The sequence below is a fragment of the Homo sapiens genome, chromosome 9 (genome assembly GCF_000001405.40).
Source record: "Homo sapiens chromosome 9, GRCh38.p14 Primary Assembly".
Classification (NCBI taxonomy): Eukaryota; Metazoa; Chordata; class Mammalia; order Primates; family Hominidae; genus Homo; species Homo sapiens.
Window position 1 is genome coordinate 128,634,667 of NC_000009.12, and position 19,042 is coordinate 128,653,708.

Here is a 19,042-nt window from a genome sequence, read left to right on the forward strand (position 1 = left end):
GCCCCAGGCCTGCCCTACGTACCTGTGGAAGGGGGAACAGCTCACAGAGTAGATGGGACCGCCGTGGGGGGAGAAGGTAAACTGTGCTGGGGCCCGCAGGGGCACGGAGCTGGGCATCCGCGTGAGGGCTGCCTCTCCAGCTGCCAGGGAACACTTGAGCGGGAAGCCGCCTTCCGTGCCCAGAATGAACAGCCTAGGGTCAAAGCTGGAGAAGGCCACTGCCGTGGCGCCCACCTCGGTCTCCCCGCGGGGATGCTGTGGAGAAATGGCAGCAGCAGGGTCAGAGCCAAGGGCATCAGATGGCACTGTCCCAACAGAGCCAGAGAACAGGAGGGGAGATCACAGCAAGTCAGGCCCACTGCCACACCTTCCCACCCCCAAGGCTCACCGGCGCAGGCCAGGGCAGTTTCCGGGTGCCCACGTACCTTCTTGAGCTTGGTGCTCCGTGGCAGCTGCTGCATGACCAGGGCGAAGCCCTCTGTGAGCTGCAGCTGGCCTACCCCGATGCCCTGCCAGAGTAGCACCTTCCCGTCGGTGGCCACACTCAGCACCTGGAAGCGGTGGCTGTGCCCAGGCTCGGGCAGCCACACCACCTGAGTTAACAGCATGCAGGGCCAGGATGGAGACAAGGGACACCTGCCCAGGTGTCACGCTCCACCCCTACCCTCCCTCTCTTCCAGGAAAAAAAAAAATTCTCCGGGAGGCCCCAGAACCAGGCTCACCCACCAGGGGGCAGGCCTGGAGGGTTCCCAGGGCCCTCTCCAGTCCCAGAATCCCAGCGCTGCTCACTCGGTGCCTGCAGAGGAGGCTGGGAATGGCCACAGGGCCCTGGGAGTGGCTCCTGAGGGGGGTGACTCATGCTGCGGGAGCTCCGAGAATGCAGGAGGCAGCTGTCCAACTGCCAACGCCCGGGTGACCTTCCTAGGAGAGTGGGCGCCCTCTCCCCAGCTCTGCCTCAGGGCCCACCCCGCCCGGCAGCCCCTGCCCTGACCTGGGACACAGGGTCTGTGTGGGTGTCATCCGTCAGGCCTGTGCGCCACAGCAGCGGGTCCTCAAGACGGCTCAGGTCCCACACCAACACCTCACCACTGTACAGCCCTCCTGCAGGGACAGTGGACCTGGGCAGAGGCTCAGCCCCACCCCCAGCCTGACTTCCTGGCCAAACACCCGCCCCAGCCCACCTACAGGGCCAGGGCCAGGGCCAGGCGGCAGAGCCACTTGGCTGGAAGTCATCCCCACAGAGGGAGAGTCCTAGCCCCCAGCTCCCCTGTTGTACCCCAGGGAGCTTTGCCGGACACCCCTGCCCTGCACCTGGCAGCTCCCTCCAGCGTTGCCTGCCCCCTACCACTGACGGCTTCCCAAGGGCACCTGCCTCTTCTGGCCTCTCCACAGCCCCCTGTCCTGGCCCCGACCCTGGCCCCCTTCCAGACTCCTCCCCCGAGTTCCACCCCTCAGGGCTCACTGCAGACCTTCACCTGGGCTCCAGACTGAGAGGGTCAGGGCCCGCCTTCCTGTCTCCGGGCCAAAGGGCCCATGGAAAGCTCCCTTGTGCCCTCTGCAGGGCGGGAAGCTGAGTCCTGAGAGGAGAGGAGGCGGACACAGCAGGCAGCTCACCTGCGACGTGGGAGGGCTGCGTGGGGTGGAAGGCCAGACACAGGACAGCGCTGGGGACCTCCACCACGGCCGACGGCTGCTGGGGACGCAGGTCTCGCCGGTCCAGGTTCCAGGCACACACGAAGGACTTAAGCGTGCTCCAGTCCCCATGGTCCAGCCTGTGCAGGGACAGGCTTGAGCCGGCTGTGCCCCTGGGTGGGGCTCCTATCACCCACCCCACCTCTCTCCCCACTAGCCCCGGACACACTCGCTGTGTCCTTGTCACCACCAGACACTACTCTGGGTATTGAAGTGGCCCACACTCCACTCTAGCACCCCAAGGGTGTGGCATTCTCTGGAAAATGGTCCCCAGGCACCAAGGACAGTCCATGCCATGCAGGATGGGGAAGCAGCTGGTGGGGCGGGCGAGGCAGGCAGGCCCAGGGCCTCCAGGCAGGGGGGAGGGTGATCCTGGCACTCAGCCCCACTGCCTGCTCTTCTGCCACTTGTTGTCAACCCTGCCCAGGAAGGCTTGAGAAGAGACTCCCAGGATGGCCAAGCTCTTAGAACCAGCCCTTCCCTGTGCAGCTACAGAGACAAGGCCCAAGGAGGGTCCTGGGGTGGCGAGCTGCCCCTCACCTGCCCCGCTGCCACTCACCGGCCGTAGGCACAGGCCACCACAGAGCCAGTGGAGTTCCAGGAGATGCTGGTCACATGCAGACCCTGCGCTTGGGCTGGCGGGTAGCCCAGGGTATACAGACAAGACACCTGCGGAGACGTCCCCAACCCTGAGTCCAAAGCCACCAGCAGGGGCCTCATGACTGCCTAACCAAACCCCACCTAGGCCAGGCCACCCTTAGCCCTAGAGGCCCTCAAGTCCATCAGCCAGGCCTAGAGGAAAATGTGGCACGTTCATCCCCACATCTGCCCCAGCAGAATGCTTCCAGAAGCCCAGAAGGCATGGCCTGAGAAGCAAGGCCGACCAGGCTCCCGCCCAGAGGGGTGGCTGCCCTCACAGGCACACTCCACAGTTTCCAAGCCTCAGGGGCTGCAGCAGGAAGGTGGGGATGGTTGCCCAGCAGCATAAAAGTGCCCAACGCGGCCAAGTACAAGGGGTCAAGCGAACCACCCGACGTCACGCTGTGCTACACGCACATGATTTTTTGTTGTTTGTGGTGGTTAGTTGGTTGGTTTTCTTTTTGAGACAGAGTCTCACTCTGTGGCCCAGGCTGGAGTGCAATGGTGCAGTCTCCACTCACTGCAACTGCCACCTCCTGGGTTCAAGTGATTCTCATGCCTCAGCCTCCCAAGTAGCTGGGATTACAGGCGCGTGCCACCAAACCTGGATAATTTTTATATTTTTATCAGAGACGGGGTTTCACCATGTTGCCCAGGCTAGTCTCGAACTCCTGACCTCAGGTGATCCGCCTGCCTCGGTCTCCCAAAGTGCTGAGATGACAGGCATGAGCTGCTGTGCCTGGCTGCCCACGATTTTTTGTCAAGCTCTGGCATCTTGCTTTCAGCCCTGCAGCCGGCCACAGCTGCATGTGAGGAGGCTGACGACCAGCCTAGCCAGGGGTAGGCACCAGCTGCCCAGGAAGTGGTGTGTGCCAGGAATCCAAACAGCCTCTCAGATCCTCTGACGTTTCAGATCTGTTGACCTCATGATTCTACATAAAGAAACTATCAACTGAGGGCCGGGCACGATGGCTCACGCCTGTAATCTCAGCACTTTGGGAGGCTGAGGCAGGAGGATAGCTTAAGCTCAGGAGTTCAAGACCAGTGTAGGCAAGATGGTGAAACCCCGTCTCTACCAAAAATACAAAAATTAGCTGGGCATGGGGGTCAGAGCCTGTAATCCCAGCTACTCAGGAAGTTGAGGTGGGAGGATCACTTGAACCCAGGACACAGAGGTTGCACTGCTGCTCTCCAGCCTAAGCAACAGAGCAAGACCCTGTCTCAAAAAAAAAAAAAAAAGGCCAGGCCTGGTGGCTCATGCCTGTAATCCCAGCACTTTGGGAGGCGGAGGCGGGCGGATCACAAGGTCTGGAGTTCAAGACCATCCTGGCCAACATGGTGAAACCCATCTCTACTAAAAATACAAAAAATGAGCTGGGTGTGGTAGCACGTGCCTGTGGTCCCAGCTACTCAGGAGGCTGAGGCAGCAGAATAGCTTGAACCCAGGAGGCAGAGGTTGCAGTGAGCCCAGATCACGCCATTGCACTCCAGCCTGGCGACAGAGCGAGACTCCATCTCAAAAAAAAAAAATGCATTTTGTAAAAAAATAAAAAAGAAACTATCCACTGGAAAGACTCCACACTCCACAAAGAGCTCCACAGCCACACCCCGCGCACTGCTGCAGCATGTGCAAGAGGTGCCTCTGCTGTGGAGAACAAGCTGCAGGAGACCAGGACCAGCAACTCCACTCATAGGTTTAGACCCTAGAGAAATGAAAACTCATGTCCACATGGACACCTGTACACCAATGTCCACAAGAGCATGACTCACTATAGCCAAAAAGGGGAATAGCCCAAATGTCCATTAGCTGATGAGTGGCTAAATGAATGTGGTCTGTCCATGCAACACCATGCAGCTGTAAAAAGGAACGCAGCACCAACCCAAGCCACAACACGCATGAACCTATTATTTTCAAACAAAGCTATACAATGGGCTAGGAGGTGGAAGGAAGCTTTTACAGGCCTTGTAATGTTCACTTTCTTGATCTGGATTTTGGTTCAAGGAATGTTTATACTTTGTAAAAAATCATCTCAGGAGGCTGAGGCAGGAGCATCTCTTGAGCCCATCTGAACTACAGCCTGGGCAACATAGGAAGACCCTAACTCTAAAAAAATTTTTTTGGCCAGGCGAGGTGGCTCACGCCTGTAATCACAGCACTTTGGGAGGCCAAGGCAGGCAGATCACCTGAGGTCAGGAATTCGAGACCAACCTGACCAACATGGTGAAATCCATCTCTACCAAAAATACAAAATTAGCCGGGCGTGGTGGCGGGTGCCTGTAATCCCAGCTGCTCAGGAGGCTGAGACAGGAGAATTGCTTGGACCCGGGAGGCAGAGGTTGCAGTGAGCCAAGATCATGCCACTGCACTCCATCCTGGGTGACAGAGCGAGACTCTGTCTCAAAAAAATAAAAAAAAAAGAAAAAGACAAAAGCTCCCTCATCTCAAACCCAATACTGTCTGCCCAACTGCCCATCAGCATTTACAGGGTCATGACTCTGGACTGTACTTGGAGGGCAGATGACCCAGAGCATGGCAGTGAAACCAGAGAGACTGGGGTTCAAGTTCTGGAGCTGTGTGTGTGGACCTGGATATGTCACTTAGCCTCTCTCAGCCTCATCTATAAACTGAAGATTATAATAGCACTACCTCATACAGTTTTTTTTTGTTGTTTTTTTGTCTTTTTTTGAGATGGAGTCTTGCTCTGTCACCCAGGCAGGAGTGCAGTGGCACAGTCTCAGCTCACTGCAAGCTCCGTCTCCCGGGTTAAAGTGATTCTCCTGCCTCAGCCTCCCGAGTAGCTGGAACAACAGGCGTGCACCACCACGCCTGGCTAATTTTTGTATTTTTAGTAGAGAGGAGGTTTCACTATGTTGGCCAGGCTGGTCTCGAACTGCCAACCTCAGGTGATCCACCCACCTTGGCCTCCCAAAGTGCTGGGATTACAGGCGTGAGCCACTGTGCCCAGCCTCATACAGTTGTTTTGAGGAGTGAAGAAGATACCACAGGAGACATTCTTTTTTTTTTTTTGAGACAGAGTCTCGCTCTGTTGCCCAGGCTGGAGTGCAGTGGCGTGACCTCAGCTCACTGCAAGCTCCACCTCCCGGGCTCACGCCATTCTCCTGCCTCAGCCTCCAGAGTAGCTAGGACTATAGGCACCTGCCACTACGCCCGGCTAATTTTTTTTTGTATTTTTAGTAGAGACGGGGTTTCACCGTGTTAGCCAGGATGGTCTCCATCTCCTGACATTGTGATCCGCCCGCCTCGGCCTCCCAAAGTGCTGGGATTACAGGCGTGAGCCACCACACCTGGCCAAGGAGACATTCTTAAACTGTGCCTGGCCCAAAGAAGGCCCTCACTGCACCGTACATGGGGAGGCAGGGCAGCCGGGCCACCCAGACTCTAGCCTGCCTCCACTGCTCAGCTGCTCAGTTTCACTCTGGACGTTACTTCCATATAGGGTGTCCATCTCCCTAACTGTAAAGTGGACAGAACAATACCGACCTCAAGGTCAGCAGTGAAGGCTCACTGACTTATTCTTAGGGAACCTAGCGCAGTACCAGGCAGGACATTAGAGCCTGGTGATTGCTGGCCGTGATGATGACTGGCACGGCTGTTATTTGTGGGAAGGAAAACAAGAGGAGACAGAAGTGGGGCAGGGGCTCGACCCGAGGCTGCACCAGCCCATCCCCTACCATCTGCTGCTGCTCGGTCCAGTTCACCTCGAAGCCATCAAACGCGTGGCTCTGCCAATTCTTGTTCAGCTCTCGGATGACCATGGCCTCCACTCTCCGAAGAAAGGCTGCGAGCCTGGGTATGTCATACTGGGACGGGGGCTGCACGCTGACAGGCACGGGGGCCTCCGTCTGCACCTGGGCGTCCACATGATTCCTGGCCTGGGCGGATGCACTGGCAGTGGCAATGCTGGCCGTCTGGCAACTTTTCTGGGGGGAGGGTGAAAACAAGTGTCACCACCCAGCTGTCCTCGCACAGCCCCCACCCAGCCCCCTGCCTGCCCCTCCTGCTTGACCCCCTCCTTGCTGCTGTGGGTCTCAGGCTAGGGGCCTCTCTCAGTGAGGTCTTGGTTGGAGATGGCCCCTTGATTCTCCTATGTCCCACAACCAATCAGTGCCAGCCAATCAGAGCACCGTGTCCCTACCTCAGCCACAGTGACCAATTCAGGGCTGGCCAAGTGACCAACACAGGCCAGTGAGACCCTGCCCCAAGACTTTTGGTGCAACAATTCGGAGGAGTCAGAGGGCTCCCTTTCTGAAGATGCGGAGGGCAGGCAGAACCACATCGGCTCACAGCAGCACCCTGGCAGACACATGGTCTGATGCCCATGAACACCCCAGCTTCACACCACCAGGCCCTCCCTCAACGGGCAGCCCTCCCAGCACCCGGGTAAGCAACAGCAGCTTCAGCATCCACTATGAGCTGCTAGGTGGGAGGCAGAGCACTGCCCCCAGAGGCCTTGCTCTCCACCCTGCCACCACGCCTACTATTCCTGGTCCCCTGCTTAGCTGTACCTGGCACAGGTACAAACATCAGAACAGGGCAGGAGAGGCCAGCCTCCCTTTCTTACAGACATGCCCAATCTTCACCAAACCAAGGCTCTCTGGGCGGAAGCAATCATGGTGATTGCTGCTATCTGTGAGGGGCTCTCCTCGGGTGGCTGCTCAAGGGACAATGACAAGGCCCTGGACTGCCACACTCCCTCCTTCCCATCTCATGCGGGATTCGAGCTGGGCCAGGAGGCAAGCCCGGAGGAAGAGGGCAGGACTCACCAGGACAGTTCTCTTCTGAACACACAGGCCTCAGCACTGGTACCCACCCTCACCTCCACAGGCCACTCAGTTCTCTCTGCTTGTCTGTGTCCTACTGAACCGCCAGCCCCCCAGCATAAGACTCTTGTCTGATCTTTGTATCCCCAGCACTTTGCATGGTATTTGGCACAAAGCAGATGTTCATTTATATACATACACACACACACACACACACACACACAAATGCCGGGCACGGTGGCTCACGCCTGTAATCCCAGAATTTTGGGAGGCCGAGGCGGGCGGATCACAAGATCAGGAGATCAAGACCATCCTGGCTAACACGGTGAAACCCAATCTGTACTAAAAATACAAAAAATTAGCTGGGCATAGTGGCGAGCATCTGTAGTCCCAGCTACTCGGGAGGCTGAGGCAGGAGAATGGCGTGAACCCAGGAGGCGGAGCTTGCAGTGAGCCAAGATCGTGCCACTACACTCCAGCCTGAGCGACAGAGCAAGACTCCGTCTCAAAAAAAAAAAAAAAAAAAATTAGCCGGGTGTGGTGGCGCGTGCCTGTAATCCTAGCTACTCAGAAGGCTGAGGCAGGAGAACTGCTTGAACCCGGGAGGCGGAGGTTGCACTGAGCCGAGATCATGCCACTGCACTCCAGCCTGGCCTATGGTAGGAGACTTTCTCAAAAAAAAAAAAAAAAAAAAAAAATTACTTATTGAGGCCGGGCGCAGTGGCTCACGCCTGTAATCCCAGCACTTTGGGAGGCCGAGGCGGGCGGATCACAAGGTCAGGAGATCGAGACCATCCTGGCTAATACGGTGAAACCCCGTCTCTACTAAAAATACAAAAAAATTAGCCGGGCATGGTCCTGGGTGCCTGTAGTCCCAGCTACTCGGGAAGGCGTGAACCTGGGAGGCAGAGCTTACAGTGAGCCGAGATTGTGCCACTGCACTCCAGCCCGGGTGACAGAGCGAGACTCCATTTCAAAAAAAAAAATTACTTATTGAGCATCTACTTGCCAGGCATTGTCTGGGTAATGAGGACACAGCAGAAAAGAAAATGTGCAAGATTCTTGTGCCCCAGGCGCTTACATAGGGGTGGGGAGAGATGAATAAACAAGAAAAAAACACCAAATCCACACAGCACTGAGCACATGCAGAGGCACGAGAAAGGAAGGAAACAGCAAGGGAGGCTGTCTGGATGGGATGGCGAGGGTGGCCTCTTAGGGAGATGGCGTTTGAGCTGAGATGTGAAGGACATGAAGGAGCCGGCCAAGTGGAAAGCTTCAGGAAGGAGTGTAGTGGGCCAGAATAAAATGTCGTGGAGGAAAATCCCCTGAGCGCCGTGGCTCACGCCTGTGATTCCAGCACTTTGGGAGGCTGAAGCAAGAGGATCACTTGAGTCTAGGAGTTTGAGACCAGCCTGGGCAACAGAGGGAAACTCTGTACCTACAAAACAATTAAAAATTTGCCAGAAGCCAGGCGCAGTGGCTCATGCCTGTAATCCCAGCACTCTGGGAGGCTGAGGCGGGTTGATCATGAGGTCAGGACTTCAAGACCAGCCTGGCCAAGATGGTGAAACCCCGTCTCTACTAAAAATACAAAAAAATTAGCCAGGTGCAGTGGCAGGCGCCTGTAATCCCAATTGCTCAGGAGGCTGAGGCAGGAGAATCGCTTGAACTTGGGGGGCGGAGGTTGCAGTGAGCCGAGATCGTGCCACTGCACTCCAGCCTGGGTGACAGAGTGAGACTCCATCTCAAAAAAAAAAAAAAAAATTGCCAGGCATGACGGCGCATCCTGTAGTCCCCAGCTACTCAGAAGGCTAAAGTGTGAAGATTGCTTGAGTCCAGGAAGTGGAGGCTGCAGTGAGCAGTTGATTGTGCCACTGCACTCCAGCCTGGGCAACAGAGCAAGTAAAGCCCAAGACGACGTGTTGGACTCTGGGAATCGTGGAAAGAAGGAAATCCAGGGTGACCCTGGGATCTGCACTGAGAACCTGTGGACGGGGCGTCCCCAGATGTGAGGTCACACTCAGGCAGAGAACACAGGGCAGTTCTGTGGGGCCTGCTTTGGACTCAGATGCCTCAGCCACCCACGGGGAGGCACCAAGTATTCCCGGGGGAGGTCACAAAGCTCTGGAGAGTTTCTGACCAGACATGTGACTTGAAGCCCCAGAGCTGGAGGAGGCTGCTGAGGGACTACACACACCAAGGAATGAATGAATGGGCCAGGGGATCAGAAAGTGCATGTGCCGAGCCAAGATGCAAGGGGACTAAGGCAGAATCTCAAACTCCATGGAAGCCACAATTCTGATGACAGTGCCAGTTGGTAAGAGCTCACTTCCAGGCACTGTGCCAAGAACTTCACCCACATCACCTTTCTTCCTCACAACCACCCTATGAAGTAAATCCTATCTTCATATTAATGTTGGCACTGAGGCACAGAGAAACTGAGTAACTCACCCAAGGTCACACAGCAAAAGGTGATCGACTTGAACCCAGGCGGCCTTTTTTTTTTTTTGAGACAGGGTCTCACTCTGTTGCCCAGGCTGGAGTACAATGGAGTGGTCATAGCTCATTGCAATCTAGCTCTGCCTCTTGGGCTCAGGCAATCCTCCCACCTCAGCCCCCCAAGTAGCTGGGACTACAGGTACACAACCACACCTGGCTGATTTTTTAAAAGAATTTTTTCGTAGAGACAGGGTCTCACTATATTATCTAGGCTTGTCTCCAACTCCTGGGCTCAAGTGATCCTCCCTCCTCTGCCTCCCAAAGTCCTGGGATTACAGGCGTGAGCCACCGCACCTGTCCAACCTGACTTGCCACTAGATTGTCTGACCTCACGACAGTAAACTGCATCTCAGCCACGGTGCCCTCCCGAACACGTGCGAAGCTGGGCCGCACCACGTGTCACTGCGCTCTGCTTCATACGCTTTGCAGATTCAGCACTTTTCACAAACTGAAGGATCACGGCGCCCCTGCACTGCACAAGCCTATCGGGCCATTTTCCCTACAGCATGCGCTTAGTTGATGCCTCTGCCACATTTTGGCAATTCTCACACTATTTCAAATTTATTCATTCTTATTATATCTGCTACACTGATTTGTGATCAGTGATCTTTTACGTTACTACAGTAATTGTTTTGCAGCACCACAAATTGTGCCTACATGAGATGGTGAACTTCATCGATAAATGTTGCGTGTGATTTGACGGCTCCACTGACCAGCTGTTGCCTGTCTCTCTCTCTCTCCTTGGGCCTCCCTATTCCGAGACAAGACAATATTGAAAGTAAGCCAATTAGGCCAGGCGCAGTGGCTCATGCCTGTAATCCCAGCACTTTGGGAGGCCGAGGCGGGCAGATCACCTGAGCTCAGGAGTTCAAGACCAGCCTGACCAATGTGGTGAAACCCCATCTCTACTAAAAAAAAAAAAAAATACAAAAATTGGCCGGGCATAGTGGCTCATGCCAGTAATCCCACCACTTTGGGAGGCCAAGGCGGGCGGATCGCCTGAGGTCAGGAGTTCGAGACCAGCCTGGCCAACACAGCAAAACTCCATCTCTACTAAAAATACATAAATTAGCTGGGCATGGTGGTGTGCACCTGTAACCCCAGCTACTCAGGAGGCTGAGGCAGGAGAATCACTTGAACCAAGCCTGGGCAACAAGAGTGAAACTCTGTCTCAAAAAAAAAAAAAAAATTACCCAGGCATGGTGGCGGGCGCCTGTAGTCCCAACTACTTGGGAGGCTGAGGCAGGAGAATCACTTGAACCCAAAAAGCAGAGGTTGCAATGAGCCGAGATCGTACCACTGCACTCTGGCCTGGGCAACAAAGTGAGACTCCATCTCAAAAAAAAAAAAAAAAAAAAAAAAAAAGGTAAGCCAATTAATATCCCTACAGGGGCCTCTAAATGTTCAAGGGAAAGGAAGAGTTGCAGGTCTCTTAATTCAAAAGCTAGACATGATTAAGCTTAGTGAGGAGGGCATGTTGAAAGCTGAGACAGGCTGCAGCCAGGCCTCTTGCAACAAACAGCCAAGTTGTGAATGCAAAGGAAAAGTTCTTGAAGGAAATTAAAAGTGCTACTCCAGGGAACACACAAATTATAAGTGAAACAGCTTATTGCTGATAGGGATAAAGTTTAGTGGCTTGGATAGAAAATCAATCCAGCCACATTTCCTTAAGACACACCATAACCCAGAGCAAGGCCCTAACTCTCTTCAACTCCATGAAGGCTGAGAGAGGTGAGGAAGCTGCAGAAGAAAAGTGTGAAGCCAGCAGAGGTTGGCTCATGAGGTTTAAGGGAAGAAGCCATCTCCATAATGTACAAATACAAGGTGAAGCAGCAAGTGCTGCTGGAGAAGCCGGAGCAAGTTCTCCAGAAGATCTAGCTCAGATTATTGATGAAGGTGGCCGCACTAAACAATAGATTTTCTTTTTGTTGTTGTTTTTTTGTTTTTGTTGTTTTGAGACACAGTCTCACTCTGTCACCCAGGCTGGAGTGCAGTGGTGTGATCTCGACAACCTGTGCCTCCTGGGTTCTAGCAATTCTCCTGCCTCAGCCTCTTGAGTAGCTGGGATTACAGGTGCCTGCCACCATGGCTGGCTAATGTTTGTATTTTTAATAGAGACGGGGATTCACCATGTCAGCCAGGCTGGTCTCAAACTCCTGAACCCAGGTGATCAGCCTGCCTGGGCTTCCCAAAGTGCTGGGATTACAGGCATGAGCCACCTGGCCCAGATTTTCAAAGTAGATGAAACATTAGAAGGACATGCCATCTAGGAATGTGAACTAGAAAGAAGTCAATGCCCGGCTTCAAAGCTTCGAGAGACAGGCTGACTCTCTTGTTAGGGGCTAATGCAGCTGATGACTTCAAGTAAAAGCCAAAGCTCATTTATATCCAGATAATTCTAGGGCCCTTACAAATTATGCTAAGGAAGGCACAGTGGCTCATGCCTGTAATCCCAGCACTTTGGGAGGCCAATGAAGGTGGATCATTTGAGTCCAAGACTTTGTGACCAGCCTAGGCAACATGGGGAAACCCAGTCTCTACAAAAGATTTAAAAATTAGCCAGGTTGGCTGGGCACAGTGGCTCACGCCTGTAATCCCAGCAATTTGGGAGGCCAAGGAAGGTGGATCACGAGGACAGGAGTTCGAGACCAACCTGACCAACATGGTGAAACCCCGTCTCTACTAAAAATACAAAAATCAGCCAGGCGTGGTGGAGCGTGCCTGTAATCCCAGCTACTTGGGAGGCAGAGGCAGAAGAATCACTTGAACCCAGGAGGCAGAGGTTGTGGTGAGCTGAGATTGCGCCATCACACTCCAGCCTGGGCAACAAGGGCGAAACTCTGTCTCAAAAAACAAACACACAAACAAAAAACAATAATATGGCACCTGCAAATTTCCTGTGAATTGGTAAGAAGCCACCATTACTCTTTGTGCTCCGGGATACCTAAGTCAGAGATCCCTTTGGGGATGAGGCCCAAGTCCATACCCCGCCACCATGCCAGGCAGTGTGTGACTAGCAAGAGGGTAAGGCTCCAATAAGCCGCCCCCGGGGGAAGTCAGAGAAAGAAATGGGGCATGGGAGTCAGGATCCTCACTTCCTAGGCCACTCTCAGAGGGGAGTGTCAAGGACGCTAGGCCCAGAGCCAGCCTCCCACACCTAGAAAGTGTATTCAGGGGCCAGGCGCTATGGCTCACGCCTGCAATCCCAGGACTTTGGGAGGCCAAGGCGGGTGGATCACGAGGTCAGGAGATCGAGACCATCCTGGCCAACATGGTAAAACCCCGTCTCTACTAAAAATACAAAAAATTAGCCAGGCATGGTGGCATGCACCTGTAATCCCAGCTACTCAGGAGGCTGAGACAGAATTGCTTGAACCCAGAAAGCAGAGGTTGCAGTGAGCCGAGATCACACCACTGCCCTGCAGCCTGGGCAACAGAGCAAGACTCCATCTCAAAAAAAAAAAAAAAAAAAAGCGTTCAGGGGAATACAAAGGGCTGGGCCAGACTTTATGTAATCAGACCAGGACATCCTTGGAGGGAATCAGAGAACAGTAATTACCAAAGCAAGACCAGCAGGGTCCACCCTCTTGAGAGTCTGAGGCCCCAGGGACGCTCTGCAGCCTGAAGCCCAATTCTCCTGCCCCAAGAGAGCCTGCAGCCATGGAGAAACCCAGAACATCAGCACTCCTGCCTCTCAGAGGAAGGAAACTGAGGCCCAGAAAGGTGAGGAGATGCCTTCTGGAAAGTCCACCTGCCCCACAGGACCCCTTTCTTGGAAAACCTCCTACCCAAGCCACAAGCTAGGCCCCAAGCCCCAGACTTCTCTGACTGAATGAAAACTGAACACTGGCCGGGCACAGTGGCTCGCACCTGTAACCTTAGCACTTTGGGAGGTCGAGGCAGGAGGATCACTTGAGGCCAGGAGTTCGAGCACCCTGGCCAACATGGCAAAATCCCATCTCTACTAAAAATACAAAAATTAGTCAGGTATGGTGGCACACGCCTGTAACTCCAGCTATTTGGGAGGCTGAGACAGGAGAATCACTTAAACCAGTAAGGTGGAGGTTGCAGTGAGCTGAGATCGCGCCATTGCACTCCAGCCTGGGCAACAGAGCCAGACTCCATCTCAAACAAGCCCACTCCAGCAGGGGGTGCCATATGCTAGAGAATCTCCTGGGCCGGGCCCGACCAAGCCAGGCCCCGCCAAGCCAAGCCAAGCGGGCAGGGCCAGGCATGGTGGCTCAGGCCTGTAATCCTAGGCCTTTGGGAGGCCGAGGCAGGCAGATCACTTGAGGCCAGGAGTTCAAGACCAGCCTGGCCAACATGGTGAAGCCCTATCTCTACTAAAAATACAAAAAAAAAAAAAAAAAAATTAGCCAAGCGTGTTGGCGGGCAACTGTAATCACTGCTACTAGGGTGGCTGAGGTGGGAGGATTGCTTGAACCTGGGAGGTATAGGTTGCAGTAAGCCAAGATCGTGCCACTGCACTACAGCCTGGGCGACGGAGGGAGACTCCGTTTCAAAAAAAAAAAAAAGAGAGAGAGAATCTGCTGGGCCAGAAGCTACAGCCAGTCCAGAAGAGGCACTCACTTAGAGGCCCAGAGCTAGGCAGCTAGGTCAATTCTGAGGAGGGATGCAGCAGAGGCCTGCCAGGGAGTGAAAGCACACAAGAAACCATTCAATTCAGCATTTCCTAGGCACCTCTGGGACATGGAAAACTACAGGAGACTCACCCCTGCCCTCAAGGAGCTAAATCACGGGAGACAGACCTGAATGTCAAAAATGCATCCCACTGGGAAAAAGTTCAATAGATCGCGGTGATGACTGTGCACTGGAATTATACTTGATGCCTCTGAATTGCACACTTTTTAAAATGGTTAAAACGGGCCAGAGATGGTGGTTCACAGCTTTCATTTCAGCACTTTGGGAGGCTGAGTGGGAGGCTCACGTGAGGCCAGTTGTTCAATACCAGCTGGGCAACAAAGCAAGACCTCTGACTCTACAGAATTTTCCAAATTAGCCAGGCGCGATGGTGTGCACCTGTAGTTCTTTCTACTCGGGAGACTGAAGTGGGAGGATCGCTTAAGCTCAAGAGTTTGAGGCTGCGTGAGCTACGATCACATCACTGCATTCCAGGCTGGGAGACAGAACCAGACCACCAGCACTTTGGGAGGCCAAGGTGGGAGGATCATTTGAGGTCAGGAGTTCGAGACCAGCCTGGCCAACATGGTGAAACCCTGCCTCTACTAAAAATACAAAAAAGAGCCAGGCCTAGTGGGACGCGCCTGTAATTCCAGCTACTGGGGAGGCTAAGGTGGGAGAACTGCTGGAACTCAGGGGGCAGAGATTGCAGTGAGCCAAGACTGCACCACTGCACTCCAGCCTGGGCAAGACAGTGAGACTCCATCTCAAAAAAAAAAAAAAAAAAAAACTGGGCCAGGTGCAGTGGCTCACACCTGTAATCCCAGCACTTTGGGAGGCTGAGGTGGGCGGATCATGAGGTCAGGAGTTCAAGACCAGCCTAACCAACATGGTGAAACCCCATCTCTACTAAAAATACAAAAATTAGCTGGGCATGGTGGTGCGTGCCTGTAGTCTCAGCTACTAAGGAGGCTGAGGCAGGAGAATCGCTTGAACCCGGGAGACAGAGGTTGCAGTGAGCTGAGATCGCGCCATTGCACTCCAGCCTGGGTGGCAGAGCGAGACTCTAAAATATAAATAAATAAATGAAAAATTTTTTAAAAAACTACTGGAAAGCAGCTGGATTAAACTAGTGGTTCTAGTGGTTCTCAAACTTTGCTAAGCATTAGAATCATTTAGGGAGATATTATGAAACCAGATCCCCAGGTCATACCACATCCAAAGTAAGCCACAGTAACTGCAAGTAGAACCCAGGAGTCCACATTTTTCAACACTTTCCAGGGCATTCCAGTGTTGACTACCTTTGAGAAGAGGAATGAGGAGGCCCCCCTCAGCTGAGACAGCAGGGCCAGTCACTGACACTCAGAAACTCCACGTGAACAGCACTGGCTTTCACTTGGCTTTCTGGTCAACAGTCCCATTCAACCCCATAAGAAGTATCCTAACAATCGCACTTCACAGAAGAGAGACTGCGTTACTAGTCCAGGGCCAAGCCACTGATAAAAAGGATCTGCACCCTCAAACTCAGATCGAAAATTAAGGTCCAGGACACTGTCCCTCTAAACAGATAGGGACGTGGCAAGAAAAGTCAAGTCAGGCCAAAGACCATATATATATATATATATATATGCCACCACGCCCGGCTAATTTTGTATTTTTAGTAGAGACAGGGTTTCTCCATGTCGGTCAGGCTGGTCTTCAACTCCCAGTCGACCTCAGTTGATCTGCAAGGCTCAGCCTCCCAAAGTGCTGGAATTACAGGCATGAACCACCACACCCAGCCCCATTTTTGTATTTTTAGAGATGGGGTTTCACCATGTTGGCCAGGCTGGTCTTGAACTCCTGACCTCAGGTGATCCACCCACCTCAGCCTCCCAAAGTGCTGGAATTACAGGCGTGAGCCACCACGCCGGCCCATAGATTACTTGTATAAAGAACAAAAAGTTAACTCAAAAAGCACCAGGCAGCAGTGGCGCAGTAGTCACCATGACGGCTAAGGGGCTGGGTGCGGTTCTGCCAGGCTAGGAGCACAACCGGCACCCAGAATCTGTCGCCGCTGCTTGAACACAGCCTGCACCATGGCCACCTCTGCCCCCTCCTCGGAGCATGTCGGGAAGCGGCATGAGATCTTTCACTGTCTCTATGAAGGCCTACAAGGAGTGCCCAAGCACCTGCTGGGTGCAGTGGGGACCAAAGAGAAGTTGATCAGAGATTTTGATGAAAAGCAACAGGAAGGAAACAAAAAGCTGGCAGAGATGGAGGAGGAACTACATTATGCACCTCTATCTTTCCGTAACCCCATGATGTCTAAGCTTCAAAACTACCAGAAGGGCCGGGGGTAGTAGCTCATACCTGTAATCCTAGCACTTTAGGAGGTCGAGGTGGGCAGATCACTTGAGGTCAGGAGTTCAAGACCAGCCTGACCAACATGGTGAAACCCCATCTCTACTAATAATACAAACATTAACCGGCCGTGGTGGCGCACGGCTGTAATCCCAGCTTCTCGGGAGGCTGACGCAGGAGAATCGCTTAAACCCGGGAGGCAGAGGTCGCAGTGAGCCAAGATCGTACCACTGCACTCAAGCCTCAGCAACAGATCGAGACTGTCTCAAAAAACACTACTGGAAGGACCTTGCCAAACTATCAGGAGATGAGAAGCACACCTTGGAGAGCCACAACTGGAGGCCGAGGAGACATGAAATATGGCACACAGCCAGGCACGGTGGCTCACACCTGTAATCCCAGAACTTTGGGAGGCCGAGGCGGGCAGATCACCCAAGGTCAGGAGTTTTGAGACCAGCCTGGCCAACACAGTGAAACCCCATTTCTACTAAAAATATAAACAATTAGCTGAGTATGGTGGCAGGCGCCTGTAATCCCAGCTACTCAGGAGGCTGAGGCAGGAGAATTGCTTGAACCCAGGAGGCAGAGGTTGCAGTGAGCTGAGATAGCACCACTGCACTCCAGCCTGGGTGACTGAGTAAAACTTCATCTCAGAAAAAAAAAAAAAAAAAAGAAAGAAATATAGCACATGTGCTGCAGAGAATGAGCACATGGACTGGCTACAATCTCAAAGGGCAATGCTTCTACAAGGCACTGGAAGCCTGATCCAGGTGACCCGAAGTACTGAACATTCTCATCAGACTGGCACAGAAACTGACCAGATTGGCTCAGAAATCACAGAAGAACCAGAGGAACAAGACAGACCAATTAGAAAGCACCAAGAATCGGGCCAGGTGCGGTGGCTCACGCCTGTAATCGCAGCACTTTGGGAGGCCAAGGTGGGCAGATCACCTGAGGTCAGGAGTTTGAGACCAGCCTGGCCAACATGGTGAAACTTCGTCTCTACTAAAAATACAAAAATTAGCTGGGCATGGTGGCAGGCACTTGTAATCCCAGCTACTCAGAAGGCTGAGGCAGGAGAATCGCTTGAACCCAGGAGGCAGAGGTTGCACTGAGCTGAGATCATGCCATTAAACTCCAGCCTGGGGAACAAGAGCGAAACTTCATCTCAAAAAAAAAAAAAAAAAAAGAAAGAAAGAAAGTACCAAGAGTTGGCCAGGTGCTGTGGTACACACCTGTACTCCTAGGTACTCAGGAGGCTGACGGAGGAAAATCGCTTGAACCCGGGAGGTGTAGGTTGCAGTGACCCAAGATTGTGCCATTGCACTCTAGCCTGGGCAACAAGAATGAAATTCCGTCTCAAAAAAAAAAAAGAGGCCGGGCACAGTGGCTCACTCCTGTAATCCCAGCACTTTGGGAGGCCCAGGCAAGTGGATCACCTGAGGTCGGGAGTTCGAAACCAGCCTGACCAACATGGAGAAACTCCCTCACTACTAAAAATACTAAATTAGCCAGGCATGGTGGCACATGCCTGTAATTCCAGCTACTCAGGAGCTGAGGCAGGAGAATCACTTGAACCCGGGAGGCGGAGGTTGCAGTGAGCCAAGATCATGCCACTGCACTCCAGCTTGGGCAACAAAAGCGAAACTCCGTCTCAAAAAAAAAAAAGTAAGTACCAAGAGTGCCAGGCACGGTGGCTCACACCTGTAATCCCCAAGCAGTTTGGGAGGCTGAGGCGGGTGGATCACCTAAGGTCAGGAGTTCAAGACCAGCCTGGCCAGCATGGTGAAACCCTGTCTCTACTAAAAACACAAAAATTAGCCCAATGTGGTGGCGTGCACCTGTTATCCCAGCTACTCAGGAAGCTGAGGCAGGAGGATCACCTGAAACCAGGAGGCGGAGGTTGCAGTGAGCTGAGATCACACCACTGCACTTCAGCCTGGGCAACAAAGCGAGACTCCGTCTCACACACAAAAAAGAAAGTACCAAGAGTAGCCCAGGTGAGGTGGCTCAGGCTTGTAATATCTATACCTTGGGAGGCCGAGGCAGGCAGATGACTTGAGGCCAGGAGTTTGAGACCAGCCTGGCCAACATGGTGAAAGGTCGGGAGTTCAAAACCAACCTGGCCAATATGGCGAAACCCCGTCACTACTAAAAATAAAAAAAACTGGGCCGGACACGGTGGCTCACACCTGTAATCCCAGCACTTTGGGTGGCCGAGGCAGGCGGATCACGAGGTCAGGAGATAAAGACTATCCTGGCTAACACAGAGAAACCCCACCTCTACTAAAAAAAAAAAAAAAATTAGCCAGGCGTGCTGGCATGCACCTGTAGTCCCAGCTACTCGGGAAGCTGAGGCAGGAGAATCGCTTGAAGCCGGGAGGCGGAAGTTGCAGTGAGCTGAGATCACGCCATTGCACTCCAGCCTAGGCCACAGAGCGAGACT

The 19,042-nt window shown here is 53.4% G+C and overlaps 1 protein-coding gene and 1 pseudogene across 3 annotated transcripts in view, besides 4 other annotated features; one reads left to right on the top strand and one right to left on the bottom strand.

The window, feature by feature from the left end:
* Nucleotides 1-19,042, bottom strand: part of DYNC2I2 (dynein 2 intermediate chain 2) — a 50,808-nt gene that overhangs the window by 1,014 nt on the left and 30,752 nt on the right. For 2 of the 3 annotated variants that reach the window (XM_047424057.1, NM_052844.4), the window contains 6 exons: nucleotides 6,025-6,273; nucleotides 2,252-2,361; nucleotides 1,615-1,772; nucleotides 992-1,101; nucleotides 426-593; nucleotides 23-255 (listed from right to left, as the gene is read on the bottom strand). In XM_047424057.1, the coding sequence (XP_047280013.1) occupies nucleotides 23-255; nucleotides 426-593; nucleotides 992-1,101; nucleotides 1,615-1,772; nucleotides 2,252-2,361; nucleotides 6,025-6,273 (1,028 nt within the window). The remainder of the gene's footprint in view (nucleotides 1-22; nucleotides 256-425; nucleotides 594-991; nucleotides 1,102-1,614; nucleotides 1,773-2,251; nucleotides 2,362-6,024; nucleotides 6,274-19,042) is intronic. The other variant, XM_011519179.3, reaches the window with a different exon arrangement.
* Nucleotides 27-1,226: an enhancer, noted in NCBI's record as "CDK7 strongly-dependent group 2 enhancer chr9:131396972-131398171 (GRCh37/hg19 assembly coordinates)". NCBI's record gives its function as "activates an origin of replication core promoter dependent on BRD2, BRD4, P300/CBP, MED14 and CDK7 cofactors, with strong dependence on CDK7, by STARR-seq in HCT116 cells {active_cell/tissue: HCT116}" and the evidence as "EXISTENCE:reporter gene assay evidence [ECO:0000049][PMID:35650434]".
* Nucleotides 1,279-2,029: an enhancer, noted in NCBI's record as "H3K27ac-H3K4me1 hESC enhancer chr9:131398224-131398974 (GRCh37/hg19 assembly coordinates)". NCBI's record gives its function as "activates a minimal SCP1, AML or CMV promoter by ChIP-STARR-seq in naive H9 embryonic stem cells {active_cell/tissue: H9 hESC(naive)}" and the evidence as "EXISTENCE:reporter gene assay evidence [ECO:0000049][PMID:30033119]".
* Nucleotides 6,192-6,796: an enhancer, noted in NCBI's record as "H3K27ac-H3K4me1 hESC enhancer chr9:131403137-131403741 (GRCh37/hg19 assembly coordinates)". NCBI's record gives its function as "activates a minimal SCP1, AML or CMV promoter by ChIP-STARR-seq in naive H9 embryonic stem cells {active_cell/tissue: H9 hESC(naive)}" and the evidence as "EXISTENCE:reporter gene assay evidence [ECO:0000049][PMID:30033119]".
* Nucleotides 13,742-13,851: an enhancer, noted in NCBI's record as "active region_29086". NCBI's record gives its function as "activates an Ori minimal core promoter by ATAC-STARR-seq in GM12878 lymphoblastoid cells {active_cell/tissue: GM12878}" and the evidence as "EXISTENCE:reporter gene assay evidence [ECO:0000049][PMID:35858748]".
* VTI1BP4 (vesicle transport through interaction with t-SNAREs 1B pseudogene 4) lies at nucleotides 16,332-17,484 on the top strand (annotated as a pseudogene).